The sequence below is a fragment of the Homo sapiens genome, chromosome 5 (assembly GCF_000001405.40).
Source record: "Homo sapiens chromosome 5, GRCh38.p14 Primary Assembly".
NCBI classification, from domain to species: Eukaryota; Metazoa; Chordata; class Mammalia; order Primates; family Hominidae; genus Homo; species Homo sapiens.
Window position 1 is genome coordinate 151,095,404 of NC_000005.10, and position 16,975 is coordinate 151,112,378.

The following is a 16,975-nucleotide window of genomic DNA, read 5'->3' on the forward strand; positions in this document are numbered from 1 at the left end:
TTTCTCATTCTACTGTGTGCTCTGTGGGTATGGCTGGCAGTGACTGTAATTCTGTGTGACAAGCAGTATTTACGGGCCTTGAGTGGATAGCAGGCACATGGGAAAGTGGGGGAAGGAAATGTCAGTTCCCCACCCTCCCTACTTTCCTTTCAGGCCCTCCCAGGTCAAGGTCCATGGCCTTCAAGACGGCCAGGGAGGGGTTCTGCCTGCAGCTGGCAGCACAACAGGCAGATGGTGGTAGTTGGGAGGAAGGGGTGGGGCCATCCCACAGAAGGAAATGCATGTTCTGGAAATTTTAACAGCTGGGCCTGTTTGTGTGGTGGGGGGACATTCCCAGACAGCTCTTGTTTAGGGTTTTGTCAGTCCTTACCTAGCTGAGAGGAGGGCAGTGGGACAGCCTACATCAGGGACCTCTGTCCTCATGTCCTTCTCTGAGTTCTTAGGGAATGGAACTTGGCTTCACATCTGCTTCCTCCCCGCTCACTCCCCATGGCACTTTAGGGCCCTTTTCCCTGTTTTCTCGCTCCCCAGTGTCCTTCTCTTTTCTCCATCTCTGCATCCTCTGTGCTGGCTTGTGTCCTCATCCCCCCGACACCTAGGGACCCCAGCTGCTGGTCCTGTCTCCTCCATGCTGGTCCCTGGGGATATCTTTTCTAAAGGACATCTCTAATCATATAATCTCCCTCCCTAGCACATTCAGGGGCTAGCCAGTGCCTGGAGGATAAAGTCCATACTCTTCAGCCTGGACTCAGTGACCTTCCCAGAGGGCGTCCTCGCACAGCGGGTGACGGGCCCCAGCACTCCCACACACCTCTCCTTTCCCAGCTCTGCGCCTTTGCTTCAGCCATTGCCTCTGCCTGGACACCCCTCCCTCCTTCAGTAGTTTCTAATGTAAGAGCTTCTCTAACCATCTGCTGAGGTGCTCTCAAGTGTCCCGTTCTCCAAGGAGCCTTTGTTAGTCCTCCCTGTGGTTAATTCATCGCTTCTGCACTCAGTGTCCCTTGCTTGGTTGAGATTTTTCTTTTTCTTTCTTTTTTTGTTTTAAGACAGTTTTGCTCTTGTCAATCAGGCTGCAGTGCAGTGGTGTGATCTTGGCTCACCGTAACCACCGCCTCCTGGGTTCAAGTGATTCTCCTGCCTCGGCATCCCAAGTAGCTGTGATTACAGGTGCCCGCCACCGCAACTCGGCTAAATTTTTTTTTTGTATTTTTAGTAGAGATGGGGTTTCACCATGTTGGCCAGGCGGGTCTTGAACTCTTGACCTCAGGTGATCCACCCACCTCGGCCTCCCAAAGTGCTGGGATTATAGGTGTAGCCACTGAGCCTGGTCTGGTTGAGATTTTTCTAATAATCTTTCCCCACTTAGCTCTCTGTGTAGCAGGCATAGTGTAGAGCATCAGACTCCCCCCTCTGACCCTGATTACTCTTCTCTAAAATAGAATCCTGCCTATTATTGATAATAAAGAGCTGATATACTGAGTCCTTCGTATGTTCTAGACAGTGTGCTCAGAAATAAACATGCATTGCCAGTACAGACAGGTCAAGTTACTTATTTACTTCTACTAATAGTGGTGGATGGGATTTGAACCCAGGCCTGCCTGCCTCCACAGACTTAACCACTGAGCAGAGGGCTCAGTTATGTAACTACAATTTCCCACTTGCCTCACTCCAACCCTAAAGTGGGGAAATCTGTAGGAAACCCAGGTTCTGGTGGGGAATGAAGAGGCATGTTAGAGCGCTGTTTTACCGCTTCTGGGTTCCGAAATTCAGGTTGGGCAACCCGACCCTTCTCCCTCCCATGCTCAGCTCAGTCTGGCTTCCTCATCAATAGGTAAAGGAGGAAGTGTCAGCAGAGAGAGCAGAGCCTGGAATCAGGACAGCTGCGTTCTAGCCTCAGATCTGGCACTTACTAATACAATGGTCACAATCCTGTCTCTGGGCCTCAGTTACCAAACCTGTGAAACGAGAGGGTTGGTTGGGGCCATCTCTAAGACCATTTCCAGTGAGTCAATCCATGATGTACTGTCTATGTCTTCAGGCAGTATGTTTCACCACTTGGAGCCCAAGTTTCCTCATTGGTAAAAAGAGGGTGATCACCCCTATAATACTGCAAAGGAAGTAACGGCCATGGAGGCAAAGCTTCTCAAGTGGGATTATTCTGGTGGCGACTTATTGCTTGCAGCTGTGCTGGGGCACCATGAATATAGGGGGATTTCTTTTTTTTTTTTGAGACACAGTGTCCCTTGGTAGTCCAGGCTGGAGTGCAATGTCACGATCATGGCTCACTGCAACCTCCGCAACCTGGGCTCAAGCGATCCTCCCACCTCAGCCTCTCGAGACTGCAGGCATACACCACTACCTCCAGCATTTTTTTTTCCTATTTTTTGTAGAGACGGGGTTTTGCTACACACAGGCTGGTCTTGAACTGGGCTCAAGCGATCTGCCCACTTTGGCCTCCCAAAGTGCTGGGGTTACAGGCACGGGCCACGGCACCTGGCCATAGGGAAACTTTAAACAGCCAGCGGTTCCCACACCACCGCCACGGGCAGGAGGTTGAGTGGCAATTCCTAAATAGCTGCTCTCTGCTCAGGTTAAAAGGGCACCCCCCCTCCCAATGGGCAACTTCCTTCGGGTATTTCCTAGTGGCCCCAAAGACCAAGATTGGCCCATCCCAGTTCAGAGCTTGTAACAGTTTGCCCTAAAGGGAAAATGCAAGGCTCAAGGCAGGAGGGGGAGCAGTGAGGAGCTAGAGAGTATTGAAGCCCACCTCCACAGGTGACGACAAAAGGAGAAAACACAGGGTGCTTCTAAAAGCACCGGCCCTGGCCGGGATGGCAATTCCAGTTCTGTCTGCTGCTAGCTTGCTATGTACCCTGGGCCAGTTGCTTCCTCTCTGTGGAAGTGACAGTTGTTTCATCTGCAAGTGAGGGAGGGAGGTGAGAATTTCTGAGGGCCCCTTCTACCCTTAGAACATCACAGCCAGCCTCCCTTTCTCCCACTTTGAGACAGCAGCGGTTTGGGCTTCTGCTTTCTCTTTCCTTTTAGTTTTAAATTAGCCCCCATCGCTTCTCCCGATTAAACTTTGGCCACAGAAGCAATCTCCAGTGTCATTTTGGAGAGAGCTGAGCAGGAGGGACACTCAGTGGAAGCTCCTTAAGCACCAGAACCACATTGGTTTGTATGTTTTGCACCTAGCACGTGGCATGGAACATAGGAGCCACTCATTAAGTGTAAACTGCATGCATGCATGAATGGGGTGCTCTGGTTCAGAACAGTGGCTACTCTCCTCCTCTGCTAAAACTCCAAGAAAAAAATGTGGTTTGTTCAGCTGGCACCGAGCTCTTAGTAGGACCGTTGCAAAAGGCTCCCGAATGGCACCCTGCCTTCCTACATTTGTCCTCAGAGCATAGCTAGACGCACACCTTCCCCACTCAAGAACTCCAAAGGCTTCCCCTAGGTTATCAGAGAAAATCCTGACATTTAAAGTCCTCCTTAATTGGAGACAAACTGTCACTTCTCATCTTGTCTACCTCACCTCACAAACTCTTAGGGTTTCCTTCCTGCTACCGACCAGTACCAGAATGCAACTACCTTAACTGAAAATTATGTGGAAAATGCATGCTGAGGCATTAGGGAGGCATCAGACAGCTACTGCCCGATTTTAGCTGTCCTCATTCCTGGTTTCTAGGCCTCCTCTTCTGTGTTCCCCTCAGCTCCATGGGCTCTCCTCACTTCTATTCCCTGATTCCACTCTTCTTTCCTTTCTGCCCCAAGCCCATTTCCCTCAGTATATATTTTAAGGCACTTTTCTTTTTGGGTTCAAATGCCTTTGTGATCTGCAGCTGACGGACTTCATGAAATCAAAGCCATAAAGCATCATGGGCTCCACCTTTCAGCCCCTACAACTGAGCCTGGTTCGGGGCAGGTAGTGAGACTGACTCCGAGCCAGGCACGCACCCTGCCAAGCACCTCCACGTGGTGCCTCCTTTTATTCCCACAAGGCTACAGGATAGGTGGAATTGGAATGAGGAGCCCTGTTTTACAGAGAAGGAAACCGAAGCTCCTGTGCTGACGGTCAGTTAGTTACAAAGGTCTTAATCCAAAACTCTGAACCATTTTGTTAATTTATCTTTCAGTAACAGTTCAATTAAGTTAGACAAATATCCCAAAAAGCTCTTAGCTGGCCCTCAAGGCACTTGAGTTCACAGCCCAGAAGAAAGGAAGTAAAGACACGGTAAGGTAACTTTTCTTTGTTTCAGACTCATTATGTCAGAGATTAAGAGAGAGCTCTTCAAAATTGTTGGATCCAACCCCCCACTATAAAGTTGGAGTAACTGAGGCCCAGTGAGGGCAATGGCTGGTCTGAGGTCACAAGTGAGGGAGGGACGAGACCAGACTCTCTCACCTGCCTGTTGCTGTCTTCACAGCTATGAAAACAAACACATGCGCCGCGCACGGTGGCTCACGCCTGTAATCCCAGCACTTTGGGAGGCCAAGGCGGGTGGATCACCTGAGATCAGGAGTTCGAGACCAGCCTGACCAACATGGAGAAACTCCATCTCTATTAAAAATACAAAATTAGCCAGGTGTGGTAGCACATGTCTGTAATCCCAGCTACTCGGGAAGCTGAGGCAGGAGAATCGCTTGAACCCGGGAGGCAGAGGTGGCAGTGAGCCAAATTCATGCCATTGCACTCCAGCCTGGGCAACAAGAGCGAAAGTCCATCTCAAAAAAAAAAAAAAAGAAGAAAAAGAAAAGAAAGAAAAGAAAACAAACACGCGCTAACCTGCAATAAACTAGTCTGGTCAGCCAGGGTAGGGAGAAGTGCCCTTTGGCCAGCAGCCAGCCCCATGCCATGGTCACTGGACAATCTTAGACCAAAGCCACAGACCAGAAGTAGGGCAGCGGGGGAGGGAAGGCAGAGGAACTGCAGTTGCGCCTACTTGCTTATCAGTGACCTGCATGAAGGAAACTTTCCATGCACCTCTCCAGATCAAGATCACATCGGGCACCCTTGCATAGTTCAAAAGAGGAAGTTTGGGCTTGGTTGAAATGGATGAAGAGCATACAGAAATGTCCAGACAGCGAGAGGGGATGAGGGGGAACCTGAGGCCCGGAGCAGGGCTGGGCCAGCCTTCCCAGGCTTGCTGCAAACTCAGATTCTCCTGTGCGCTTCCCGGGAAACACCTTGCAAGAATTTAAAGACGTAACTCGCTCCTGGACAGACTTTACAACCTCAAGCTCTAATGAGGAAAATCCAGGCTGCAGGCTCTAGGTAGAAGACAGAGGCCCTCACTGGAAATGTGTTTATGTGTTTGTGTATCTCTTTTTATTTCTTCCTTAGAAATAAAAAGTGTCAAGGGAATGAATCGGAGGCATACTTTAGGAAGTTAATGTTAGAAGGGAAGCCAAGATTTTTTTGTCCAACTGTCTCATTGTAGATAAGAAAATAGAGACTCAGGGAGGGAAAGGGGCTGGCCTAAGGTCAGAAACAAGTGCATGGCAGATGCAGATTTGAACCCAGGCATCCAAATTCCTGGTCCAGTACTCTAGCGCGGCCTGGATGGAGATGGGTGGTGAAATGGATGGGAAGATTTGTCAGTTTGCCCCAGCACATTTACTATCCTTCCCACCACCCCGCCCAGCACATTCAACTGGCCCCTGCCACCAACCCCCTCATTCAAAGTACAGACACTACTCATTTTACAGACAGAGGTTCAGGATGTTTTTGGATCTGACATAGCCCAAACCAGGGCAGAGGCTGTAGCAAGGGGAGGAAGCTGGGAAAGCCTGAGGGTCAGAGGGGAGTGGAGGTGGACAGGATCTATGGCTACGGTTTTTCAGCCGCTCAGCCGTGCTGGGCCCTCGATGGCCCGTGGGAGTGGGAGCGTTTCCTAAGCTCCACTGAAGATAAGAGCCCAACCCAACCCCTCCCCCCACCCCTGCCCCTTCCTTAGTCTCTGGAGCTGGAACAATCAGGCTTGGCCATGGCGGCTGGTGCTGATAACCATTTCTTGGCAGAAGTGCCCGCCAAAGCTGTGGCCCTAGTCCTCACCACCACAGAGAGCCAGCAAGGCCTTCAGGAAGTCTCCGGAGGTGTCACCCTGGCAGAGGCAGAGAGCAGAGTGAGTGAAAACAGTCCTTCCAGTCTCAATGCCCCCTCCTCCCGGCTGCCCATCTGTCTGGACATCTCCCTCGGCTTCTCTCCATGACCAACATAGGATCCCATGCCACATGTAGGCTACTGGGATCTCCCAGACACATAAATGTGACCACGTCCCTTTTGTTTATCCCCAGGAAGATATGCAAGCTCCCGGCCTGGCTTCAAGGCCCTTTGGGATCTGACCTGTGCAGAGCTCTGCAGCTTCACCTGTTCCTTTCCCCCAGGAGCATCTCAGTCCTCTCTCCACCTGTCACTCCCCTGTCCAACATGCCCCTGTGCACCCCCAATCCCATTTGCCAGCAGGGCCCTCTCCTCTGAGAAGCACTCTGGCCACTCTCTTGCGTCAGGAGGCACAGTGAACTCTGGCCTCCCTTGGTTCCCCTGGCACTCTGCTGATACCCTCCCCCATGGCCCTTGGCATATCGTGTTAGGTGATTTCTTATTTGAACAAACAACATTGAGTGCTAACTGCCAAGCCATTGCTGGGAATGGGTACAAACACCATCACGCTCACCACACATCACAGTGGTCTGGTATACGTTCAGACTGGGGAGGCCAAACTTCCTGACCCATGGTATGGTATGGATCTCCCTTCTGAGGGACTCCTATCATTGTTATGAGACATGGTTTTCGGGATTTTGTTTGTCCTTGTATTTTTTGATGTATGATTTTAAAACATAATATAGTATCAAAATGTGCCAACAATTTACTTACATTCCTACTAAGTCTGTAAGAGACTGCCTCTGAGATGCCCATAGTCTCGTTAGCCAAGTAGAACCAAGCATCAGACTTTAAGATCTTGGCTGATCTCAAAGAGCAAAAATATAAGCTCCATATGTCAAAAAAGTCAGACGCAGCCAGGTGTGGTGGCTCACACCTGTAATCCCAGCACTTTGGGAGGCCAAGGCAGGTGGATCACTTGAGGTCAGGAGCTAGCAACCAGCCTGGCCAACACAGTGAAACCCTGTCTGTACTAAAAATACAAAAATTAGCCAGGCATAGTGATGCATGCCTGCAGTCCCAGCTACTCGGGAGGCTGAGGCAGGAGAATTGCTTAAACCCAGGAGGTGGACGTTGCAGTGAGATGAGATGGCACTGCTGCACTCCAGCCTGGGCGACAGAGCAAGACTCCGTCTCAAAAACAAACAAACAAACAAAAAGTCAGACACAAAGGGTCACATATTAGGTGATTCCATTTATATGAAATATTCAGAAAAGGCAAATCTACAGAGACACAAAGTAGCTTGGTGGTTGCCTATGGCTGGGGATGGAACTAGATAAACAGGTATGAGAGAGCTTAGTGGGATGATAGAAGTGTTTGGAAACCAGCTGCATTATGGGAATGGTTGTACAACTCAGTAAATTTACTAAAAACTGTTGAATTGTACCCTTAAAACAGGTGAATTTTATGATATGTAAGTTTTTCGTTTGTTTGTTTGTCTGTTTTTGAGATGGAGTCTTGCTCTGTTGCCCAGGCTGGAGTGCAGTGGCGTGATCTCAGCTCACTGCAACCTCTACCTCCTGGGTTCAAGCGATTCTCTTGCCTCAGCCTCCTGAGTAGCTGGGATTACAGGCATGAGCCAACACACCCAGCTAATTTTTGTATTTTTAGTAGAGACAGGGTTTCACCATGTTGGCCAGGCTGGTCTTGAACTCCTGACCTCAAGTGATCCACCTGCCTTGGCCTTCCAACGTGCTGTGATTACAGGTGTGAGCCACCATGCCTGCCCATGATATGTAAGTTATACTTCCATAACATTGCTTTAAAAAAAGCAAAAAATGGGCTCTTGTTTTATTTGGAAATCTTTAATTATAAACCTTTGATTCTTTTGGAATTGATTTCGGTATAAACAATGCAATACAGACCCCCTTTCATTTCAATATCCTGGCTGTTCTAAGCGGTAACCCACTGGAAAAAAGTCCATGGGAATAAAGACTTCTAATCTTATATTAGGGATCTGACACTCACCCGCTTCCTGCTAACCTCTAGCCCCTCCCCTTACCTCAATGGCTTGGTGGAGAGACTTGTCATATTTCTCAATGAATTCCCTCCGGATGTTGAGCAGGTCAATCTCACTGCGGGATACCATGATCCTGGTCAGAGTCTTCTCATCTGTGCCAGCACCCTGGTGGAGCCAGGCAGGAGGGAGACACAGGCGGAAGGAGAGATAGAGCCCAGTCAGGCAAGAAACAGTGGTATCCCATCTGCCTTTCTCCCTTGTTCCTTCCAAAAACAGGGCGGATGTTCCACCTCTGTCTTCTGCAAACAGTCCTGACCAAAATCCCTCTGTGCCCAGGACTGGCCAGACTGACACGCAAAAAAGATGTGTGTGGGTTGAATAGTGTCCCCATGTCCACCTGGAAACTCAGAACATGATGTAATTTGGAAATAAGGTATTTGCACATGTAATTAGTTAAGATGAAGGCATACTGAATTAGATTGAAGCCTAAACCAATAACCAATATCTTTAGAAGAGGGAGGGCACAGACATACACACAGAAAAGTGGCTAGGTGAGGACAGAGGCAGAGACCGGAGTGATGCATTCACAGCCAGGAAACACCAAGGACTTCTGGCAACCACCAGAAGCTAGGAGAGGCAGGGGAGTGCTTCTCCCCCAGAGCCTCCAGGAGGACCCAACCCAGGCGACACCTTGATTTTGGGCTTTTGGCCTCCAGAACTATGAGAATAAATTTCTTTTGTCACCCAATTTCTGGAATGTGTTACACCAGCCCTAGGAAACTACCACCGGGCCCAAGGAGCAGGCACAGGGCATGGAATGTGTGGGCAGCCAGAGCTGCCTCTGCCCCCAGGGAGCGACAAGCACCAGCCTAGGAGTCAGAGCTAGGTTCGAGTCCCAGCTCTGCCTCTTAGGAGCTATGTAAATGTGGGCAACGTTTTACCCTACCTAGGCCTGAGTTTCCTCCTCTATCAAATGAGGATGCTACCACAATTTCACAGGACTGCCATGAGGGTCAGCTGTGGTCAGAGAGATGAAGCCCTTGGCACAGGCTTGACACATCGTGAGTGCTCAATGAATGGCTGTCACATTTGGAGACTGTAGGGTGAGGGTCTCAGGTTCCTTCCTACCCTCCCACCTGCCCAGGCTATCTGCAGTTGAGACTCCAGTGGCTGAGAGGGTGGCCAGTGTGGCTTGGGCTCTCCCAGAAGGGCAGGACTAGACTCAGAGGGGAGCGCTTGTGACCTTTGATGACTATTTGTCCTAGGAGACCCTGTGTCCCCGGATAGATTGTGAGCTCTGAGAGGGCAGAGACTGTGTCCTACCCAGCCCTGTGTGCCTCCAGAGCACATTTCTCAACCTTGGCATTTGGGGCTGGATAATTCTTTGTTGCGCAAGCTTATCCTTTGCACTGAGGTTGTTTAACAGCATCCCTGTTCTGTCCCCACCAGATGCTGGTAGCAACAATCTCCAAGTTGTGATGACCAAAAATGTGTCTGGATATTGCCAAATATCCTCCGGGGCGGGGGAAGGCGGGGGAAATCACCCCCAACTGGGAAATACCATCCTAGAGCCAGACAAGGGCAGATGCTAATAAATGTCAAATGGGAAGAAACAGCTGCCAGGAATCCTGATCTGGGGGATGGTGCACATCTGTGTGTTTGTGTGTGTATGTAAGTCAGTGCTTGAAGGGAAAGGAACGCCAGCATGTTTTCTTACCTTCATGGATTTGTAAAGTTTGTCGGCAAAGAAGAGAGGCTTGTTCTTGACACTTTGAACTGGTAGGAAGAGCAGAGAGATGCGGGGAACGTGGTCAGAGGCTGTGAACCCAGACTCTGGACCGGCCTCCCCCATCTCCCCACCTCGTCTATCCCTGCATGGGTCTGCAGATCATTGTCAACCCCAGGGTCATGCTCAGACGACACCTTTGCTCCCCTTCCCCATGCTTCCTCCTCTGGCCCATCCTTAGGCCTGGCTCTCAATTGGTTGCAACTCTCTTCCTTCTAAGGTGCTTACAGCTAACCAAGGTCAGGAGAGGATTCAAAGGTAATTAACTCCTCATGAACCCAAGGCACGGGGCCTCAAATTTTTAAATGCATTGGAATCACCCAAAAAGCTTGTTTAAAACTCAGGGTTTAGGCTCCACCCTAAAGATTCAGATTTTGGAAAGATTTTGAGCAGTGGTTCTCAAAGTGTGGTTTCCGGACCAACAACATTAGCATCACTTGAAAACTTGGAAGAAAGGCAGATTCTCATGCCTCAGATTCCAGATTCCAGAGATGCTGAATCTGAAACTCTAGAGGTGAGTGACCAGCTTGTCCTAGTTTGCCTGGGACACTCCAGGTTTTATTAGGTTGGTGCCAAAGTAATTACAATTTTTGCCATCACTTTCAATGGCAAAACTGCAATGACTTTTGCACCAACCTAACAGCACTGAAAGCCTTGCGCAAATCAGGATGGTTGGCCACCCTACTCTGGTGCAGCCTAATGCTTGAGAGTTACTGATTTAGAGAAATATTGCTCCAAAGAATGACTGTCCGTTGGTAAAATTTAAGGGACCATGCAAATCCCTGGGGCTGAGTGTTTCCCCAGGGCCTGAACAATCTTGCAGGATTGGCAGCCCCTGCTCCCTACCCTGGCTGCAGATAATGCCTGCCTGGTTTCACCAACCCCGCCCTTTCTCAAAGCCTAGGGTTCTCTAGCCCTTCACAGCTGCTTGACTGCAAGGCTCCAGAGCCCACGCACAGGTGTCTCAGACAGCTTAAAAAGGAGGAACCAGACACCAGTACTATAGCTGGAATGACTCTGGATATAATGAGAACAGACGGCAAGAGGCTGGAGTTGCGTACCCCAGTGGCAGAGTCAAGCAAGACTCCTCTGCAACAGGCTCAGGAACCCTGTGGAAAAGATCACATCACACACCTCCCATCTCCAGCTCCTTACATATCTCCCTACTACCTCCCAAACAAATCCCAAGCTCCTTGGCTTGAATGTCAAAGCTCCTGGCCTCCTTTGCAACCTCATGGCCCTTGCTCCCCCATTCCCAGAACAAACTGCAAATTCCTGTGTCTCTCTGTCCTTCCTGGATAGATGCATTTCCTATCTGCCCTTCACTACATTATCTCTCTAAATCAAATCCCATCCTTCAAGGCTGTACTTGATGTCCATGCCCCCAGTCATGACATCACCTCCAGGAAGCCTTCCCTGACTTCAGACCTAGGGCTTTATCAGTCTGGCTAAGAAGCACGCTGGGCAGAAACTTCTCTCCTCTGTAACCAACCCCACAAGTCTTCCTAAAAACTGAGCCTGTCCATCTGTCACATGGGACCCCGATGCCTGCCATTGGATGGAGGAGTGTGAAATGGTGTGTTGTGGTGTGTGTTTGCACGTGTATACCTGTTCAAGGTGGGAGGAGAAAGGGAAGAGGGAAATACACGAGGAGGGTAGGAATCTGAAAGTGTCTCCAAAGGCTAATTATTCTGGTGTTAAGAACATGAGCTTTGGAGGTAGGCAGCCTGTGGTTTGAGTCCTGGTTCTACTGCTATAAGCCTCTCTGAACTCAGTGTCCTCTTTTGTAAAATAAGCTGGTTAAGAGCACCTGATGAGAATGTAACTAAACCTGCGTGCAACTAACTTTGCGCAGGGCTTGGTGGGAAACAACAATACAAATACAAACTAACCCTTGTCCAGTGAGTATTACATGCCAAGAGGCACCGTTCCAAGTGCTTTACATATAATTAACTAATTTCAGCCTCACAAAATCCACCCTATGGGCTGGGCACTGTTGTTATCTCCACTTTACAAAGGAGGAAATTGAGACACAGAGGTTTTGTGACCTGCCCAAGGACATATAGTGAGTAAGTGGCAGAGCAGGGATTCAACCTGGATTCCATGCTTTTATTCGTCGGGCTATCCCGCCTCCTAGATATTGCTCCTGGGTGGTAAAGGCCCATCACGTGCTAAACAACACCCCTACCACCACCTCTACTTCACCCAAATCTAACACACCTTTCCCCCACATTTTAGTGTCTCTGAAATCAAGATGTGTTTTATAATTGAAGGCAATTATGTGAAAATCTTCCACGGATACCTCTTGGTAAGATTTTTTAAAAGTGCATTGATGCAATGTGTTTTATAGTAAATGAAACAAGATACCACTAATGATGAATATTAATGAGAATAACTTCAGCCCTAACCCATATCCACTCATCCATATTTATACACGGTGGAATTAAGATCCAAAAGGGAAAAACCTTTTCAAAGTCAAGAGCTCAAATTATATAAGCGTAACCAAAAAGCCAGGTACTGAGAGGAGACGAGGGTCTGTGTGTGTGTCATCTGCATCTAGCGTGTATGTGTCTTGTATGTGTGTGCATGTGTGCTGCGTATATGTGGTGTGCATGGGTCATGTGTGCATAGTGTGTGAGTGGTGTGTGTGTAGGTGTAGTGTCTTGTGGGGGTGTAGCATGTATGTGTATATATAATGTGTTCTGTGTGTGATGTGTGTATGTGTGGTGTGCACCTGTCACATGCATATGTAACGTGTTTTATGTATGAGTGTGTGTCACATGTGAGAATGTGTGTGTGTATAGTATGTGTCTTGTATATGTTAGGTGTGTGTGTCAAGTGTGTGTGTGGTGTGTGTGTGTATACACCCTAGTTGTGCAGGACAGCGTGCCCCCTCCCCTGCCTGCCCCAGTCTTCCTGGTTCTTCCCTAGCAACAGTTATTTTCTCACCCTCTCCTGCAGCCTCGCACAGACCTCATGACATTCCTGCACAATCACACATTTGGCAGCACCCCTGGAGGCGAACTGTGACAGTGTTTACTTTCCAGTAGTAGCTTCGGAGGCTGCCAAGGTTCTATTCTTCCAGAGAATCTGTTCAAGTTCCCAGTGCCCCCAGCCCTTCCCTTAGTCCCTGCCAGTTACCAATGGCCACAAATGCATCCCTGACATCCCCAGACATCTCCTTCTTGATGGTGTGCTCCACGTCATAGTTGGTCATCTTGATGAACTCCTGGAAGACTGGCCACAAGAGAAGCCCCAGAGGTGGGGGTGAGCTTCAGTGCAGGAGGCGGAGGACCCCTCCTCAGCCCCACCCAGTGCCTCCCACAGGCTGTGCCTGAGAAAGTGGAAGGGCAGCAAATATGGCCACAGCCCAGGCCTAAATGCATTGGGCAAGATCATCCCGATAGAGAAGCTCTGACATCAAGGCTGCCGTGGGCTCAGAGCCAAATCTGTCCCACGCCAGTCCCCGTGCCTGGCCAATGGTCTTAGAACCTCGGCCAAGTTCTGGGAACCCAGGCTGGGGTAGTAAAAGGAGCACGGGTCCTAGTCATGGTTCTGCCCCAGCTCACTGAGGGACCTTGGGTGATCCCTCTCCTTCCTGGGCCTCCTCTTCCTCCTGTGTCCGCTTGGGATGAAGACACAATGATAACACTCAGGAAACACTCACTGAGTCAGGCATTGCGCCAGTGCTTTATGTGTGTTATGTTTTTTGTATCTTCACAACAATCATCTCGGGTAGAGCTAAAACCCTGATTCCTACGTAAGGGAGCTCAGGCGCAGAGATTCGGTGACTTGCCTGAGGTCACATGGCTGTTAAGTGGGGGATTCAAATCAAGGCCGTCCAGTGCCCAAGTCCATTCTTTTAGCCACTATGTTAAAGCACCTTAAATACTGAGAAGTGCCAGACATTAAATGTAGACATTTAATGTAGTGCCAGACATTAAAATGTAAATGTCTCAGTGCAGGACACTTCATGATTACCGAGTGCCAGGGCCACTGCATACAGGTGTGCCCTGAGCATGCGGCAGCCTGTGGTTCAAAGATGTCTATGTGGGTCTTGTGCCACCACCACCTCTCGCTGCCTTGCTCCTGGCAGGCATCGCCAGTGAATCATGACGCGGGACCCCAGAATCCTTAACACAGCACTCTAGGCAGCTACTACCAATCAGAGTTGGCCTTTGAGGTGAAATCCAGTTGCTATACCTAATCCCGGGCATCCCACCTGCTTCCCTAAGGAGGAGAAAGAAGGTGAGGTATAAGTGGTAGAGCCAGGACTAGAACCCAGGGCTCCAGAGTCGCCGTCACCCATGACACGCTACTGCTGGGTTAAGGAGGAGGTGGGTGGGCAACGGGCTCCTCTTGCCACAGAGAGCTGAGAGGCTCTCATCAGATTCTGGGATCTTCCTGCTGAGCTGGGAAGGGAGGAGGTCAGGCCTCACCTCTCCGGAGGTGCGGATAGCTCCGGGTACACAGGATCGTCATGAAACGTGTCTCCAAGGAAGTTTTGTCTCCACTAGGTGTGTCTGCTATTTCCTGCAGAGCCCCAGTTGGAGCAAGGATTTGGGAGGGGAGACATGAGAAAGCCTTGGTTATTATTCACTTTCATGTCTTTGCCTGGGCTGAGGGCAGTCAGAAGCTGGGCTCACCCAGCCATCCAAGGGGGCCGAGACTGGTCCCCTCTTCCTTCCTCAAGCACAATGGCTTCTATACTCCCCTCTCCAGTTCACAAGGACCCTGTGAACTGACAAAGATGGCCTTAGCACTGGGTACTTCCATCCTAGCCTCAGGACCGTGGGGCTGGGGCTCCTAGGAGGACCCACATAGACTCTGAGCATAGCAACTGGGAGTTCCCCTTCCATCCCTCAACCTTTCTGCAAGCCCCTCTGGGAAGGGTGTATGGGGTCATATGCAGAGAAGATGGCCTGGCCAGTGTTTCCCCAAGCGGGGTCAAGGGCAAACACACCCGATCACACTGCACATTAGTGTTTCCATGATTGTCTTCTAGCTAGCTACTAGTTCTATTTATACTGATAGTAAATTCCCCTTAACTCATTTTGGGTTTAAGAGTGAGTCGATTTAAAGATCAGTATTAATAGCTGGTGGTTACACAGCACAAATCGTGCCAGAGATGATTAGCTGAAGTTTGGGAAACACTTGCCTGGCCTATCTTTTACCAAGCAGGGCCCGGAAGGGGAGAGAGAGAAGCCGCACAGCAAGCTCCCAAATCACTGCTCGATACTGCCCCGCTCGGCCCAGTAAAGGCGGACTTTACTCAGAGGCCGTTAAAACCCAAATGAAGAACAGGACACTCACCAAGATCTCAGCAGCCACCTGAGAGCAGGGAGGGGAGAGAGGAGGGAGAGAAGGGAGGCAAGAGTCAGAGGAGGTTGGGGAGGCTGGTGCTGGGGCCCTGGGGTGCAGGGTGAGGGGCCTGGCTGGGAGTGGGAGAGGTCCCAAGAGACCTGAGAGAACCCGGGATGCGAAAGGAAGGGGGGTAGGGACAAGATAAAAATACCTTCCTATGACCTTTTGGGCTGGAGCTCAGAATGCGGATAGGCCTGGCAATAACTAAAAACGTGTTCACTTGAAGGGTAAGAGAAAGACACAGAAATGGGGAACTCTGCCCTTCGCACCCCAAAACCCAGAGGAGATTCCAGGCCTGTTTCTTTGTCTGAAAGTGGAAATAATCCCTGCCACTTCCTTACAGAACCACTGAGATGTAAATGTGAGCAGTGCAAAGTTCTCTGCACCCTTTAGCATATTCAGAGTTCCAAGGCAAGAGACATGTAATTTTAGCCTTCATGTTACAGACAGGAAAGACTGGCCAGCTGAGGCCTTAAGGGGAGCTGACCTGCCTGGAGGCACACAGCAAACAGTGATGGGAAAGTCATTTTACAAGGGTTACTTTTAATCACTGCACTATGCAGAGCACAAAATTCTGTGGTTAGGACACTATTTTGTTAGGCAAATAGCTGTGACTTGGAGAGCCTGGGAACAAAATACCCAGGCTCATGTACCTAGGCTGCGTATTGCTTTCGCCGTTCCCCCAGAAACTCTGCTGACTTTATTCTATTGGATAGACTGAACTCTTTATAAACTTCACAATAGCCTATACTCTGGAAACCTTCCTCTTCTTTTCATTGCATAATTGGCAATGTCCGTTAAAAGTTAAAAGGCATATGCCATTTGATCAAGCAATTATATTGCTAGGAATTTGCCCTACAGGTATACTGGCAAAAGCCTTCCACGATAGAATACAAGACTGTTCACTGCAGCATTCTTTTTAATTTTTGGAGACAGGGTCTTGCTCTGTTGCCCAGGCTGGAGTACATTGGCACAATCTCGGCTCACTGCAACCTTGACCTCCTGGGCTCAAGCGATTCTCCTGCCTCAGCCTCCTGAGTAGCTGGGACTACAGGTGTGTGCCACCACATCCAGCTAATTTTTTTATTTTTTGTAGAGAAGGGGTCTCACTTTGTTGTCCAGTCTAGCCTCAAGCAATCCTCCTGCCTTGGCCTCCCAAAGAGTGCAGTGGTGCGATCTCAGCTCACTGCAACCTCCACCTCCCAGGTTCAAGCGATTCTCCTGCCTCAGCCTCCTGAGTAGCTGGGATTACATGTGCATGCCACCAGCCCAGTTAATTTTTTTTTTTTTGTATTTTTAGTAGAGATGGGGTATTGCCATGGTGGCCAGGCTGGTCTCGAACTCCTGACCTTAGGTAATCCACCCGCCTCAGCCTCCCAAAGTGCTGGGATTATAGGCACTGCACCTGGTCAGCATTTTTCATACTAGAGAAAAACTGTAAACCATCCTGAGATTGACTTGTTAAACAGGCTATGACTTATCCAATCAATGGAAACAATCCATGCAGTTTTTACAAAGGATAAGATTATCTACAATGCTGATAAGGAGAGTTTCCATTTAAATTAAGTAAAGAAGTAAAGTATAGCATATTTTTGTGTAATATAGTGTTTCTTTTATCTAGATTCAAAAAAAAATAGACACTCACTTTCTCATACTTCCTGGGAAGTACTTAAGAAACTGTCGAGACACCTTTGAGGAGAG

The 16,975-nt window shown here is 49.3% G+C and overlaps 1 protein-coding gene across 3 annotated transcripts in view, besides 2 other annotated features; it reads right to left on the reverse strand.

Annotated features, from left to right (window-relative positions):
* Positions 3,003-3,112: an enhancer, noted in NCBI's record as "active region_23437". NCBI's record gives its function as "activates an Ori minimal core promoter by ATAC-STARR-seq in GM12878 lymphoblastoid cells {active_cell/tissue: GM12878}" and the evidence as "EXISTENCE:reporter gene assay evidence [ECO:0000049][PMID:35858748]".
* Positions 3,303-3,352: an enhancer, noted in NCBI's record as "active region_23438". NCBI's record gives its function as "activates an Ori minimal core promoter by ATAC-STARR-seq in GM12878 lymphoblastoid cells {active_cell/tissue: GM12878}" and the evidence as "EXISTENCE:reporter gene assay evidence [ECO:0000049][PMID:35858748]".
* The window catches only part of ANXA6 (annexin A6), a 57,074-nt gene continuing 45,401 nt past the window's right edge, over positions 5,303-16,975 (reverse strand). For 2 of the 3 annotated variants that reach the window (NM_001155.5, NM_001193544.2), the window contains 6 exons: positions 15,224-15,241; positions 14,350-14,443; positions 13,052-13,147; positions 9,842-9,900; positions 8,167-8,289; positions 5,303-6,104 (listed from right to left, as the gene is read on the reverse strand). In NM_001155.5, coding sequence (NP_001146.2) covers positions 6,045-6,104; positions 8,167-8,289; positions 9,842-9,900; positions 13,052-13,147; positions 14,350-14,443; positions 15,224-15,241 — 450 coding nt within the window. In that variant the 3' untranslated portion in view covers positions 5,303-6,044. The remainder of the gene's footprint in view (positions 6,105-8,166; positions 8,290-9,841; positions 9,901-13,051; positions 13,148-14,349; positions 14,444-15,223; positions 15,242-16,975) is intronic. The other variant, NM_001363114.2, reaches the window with a different exon arrangement.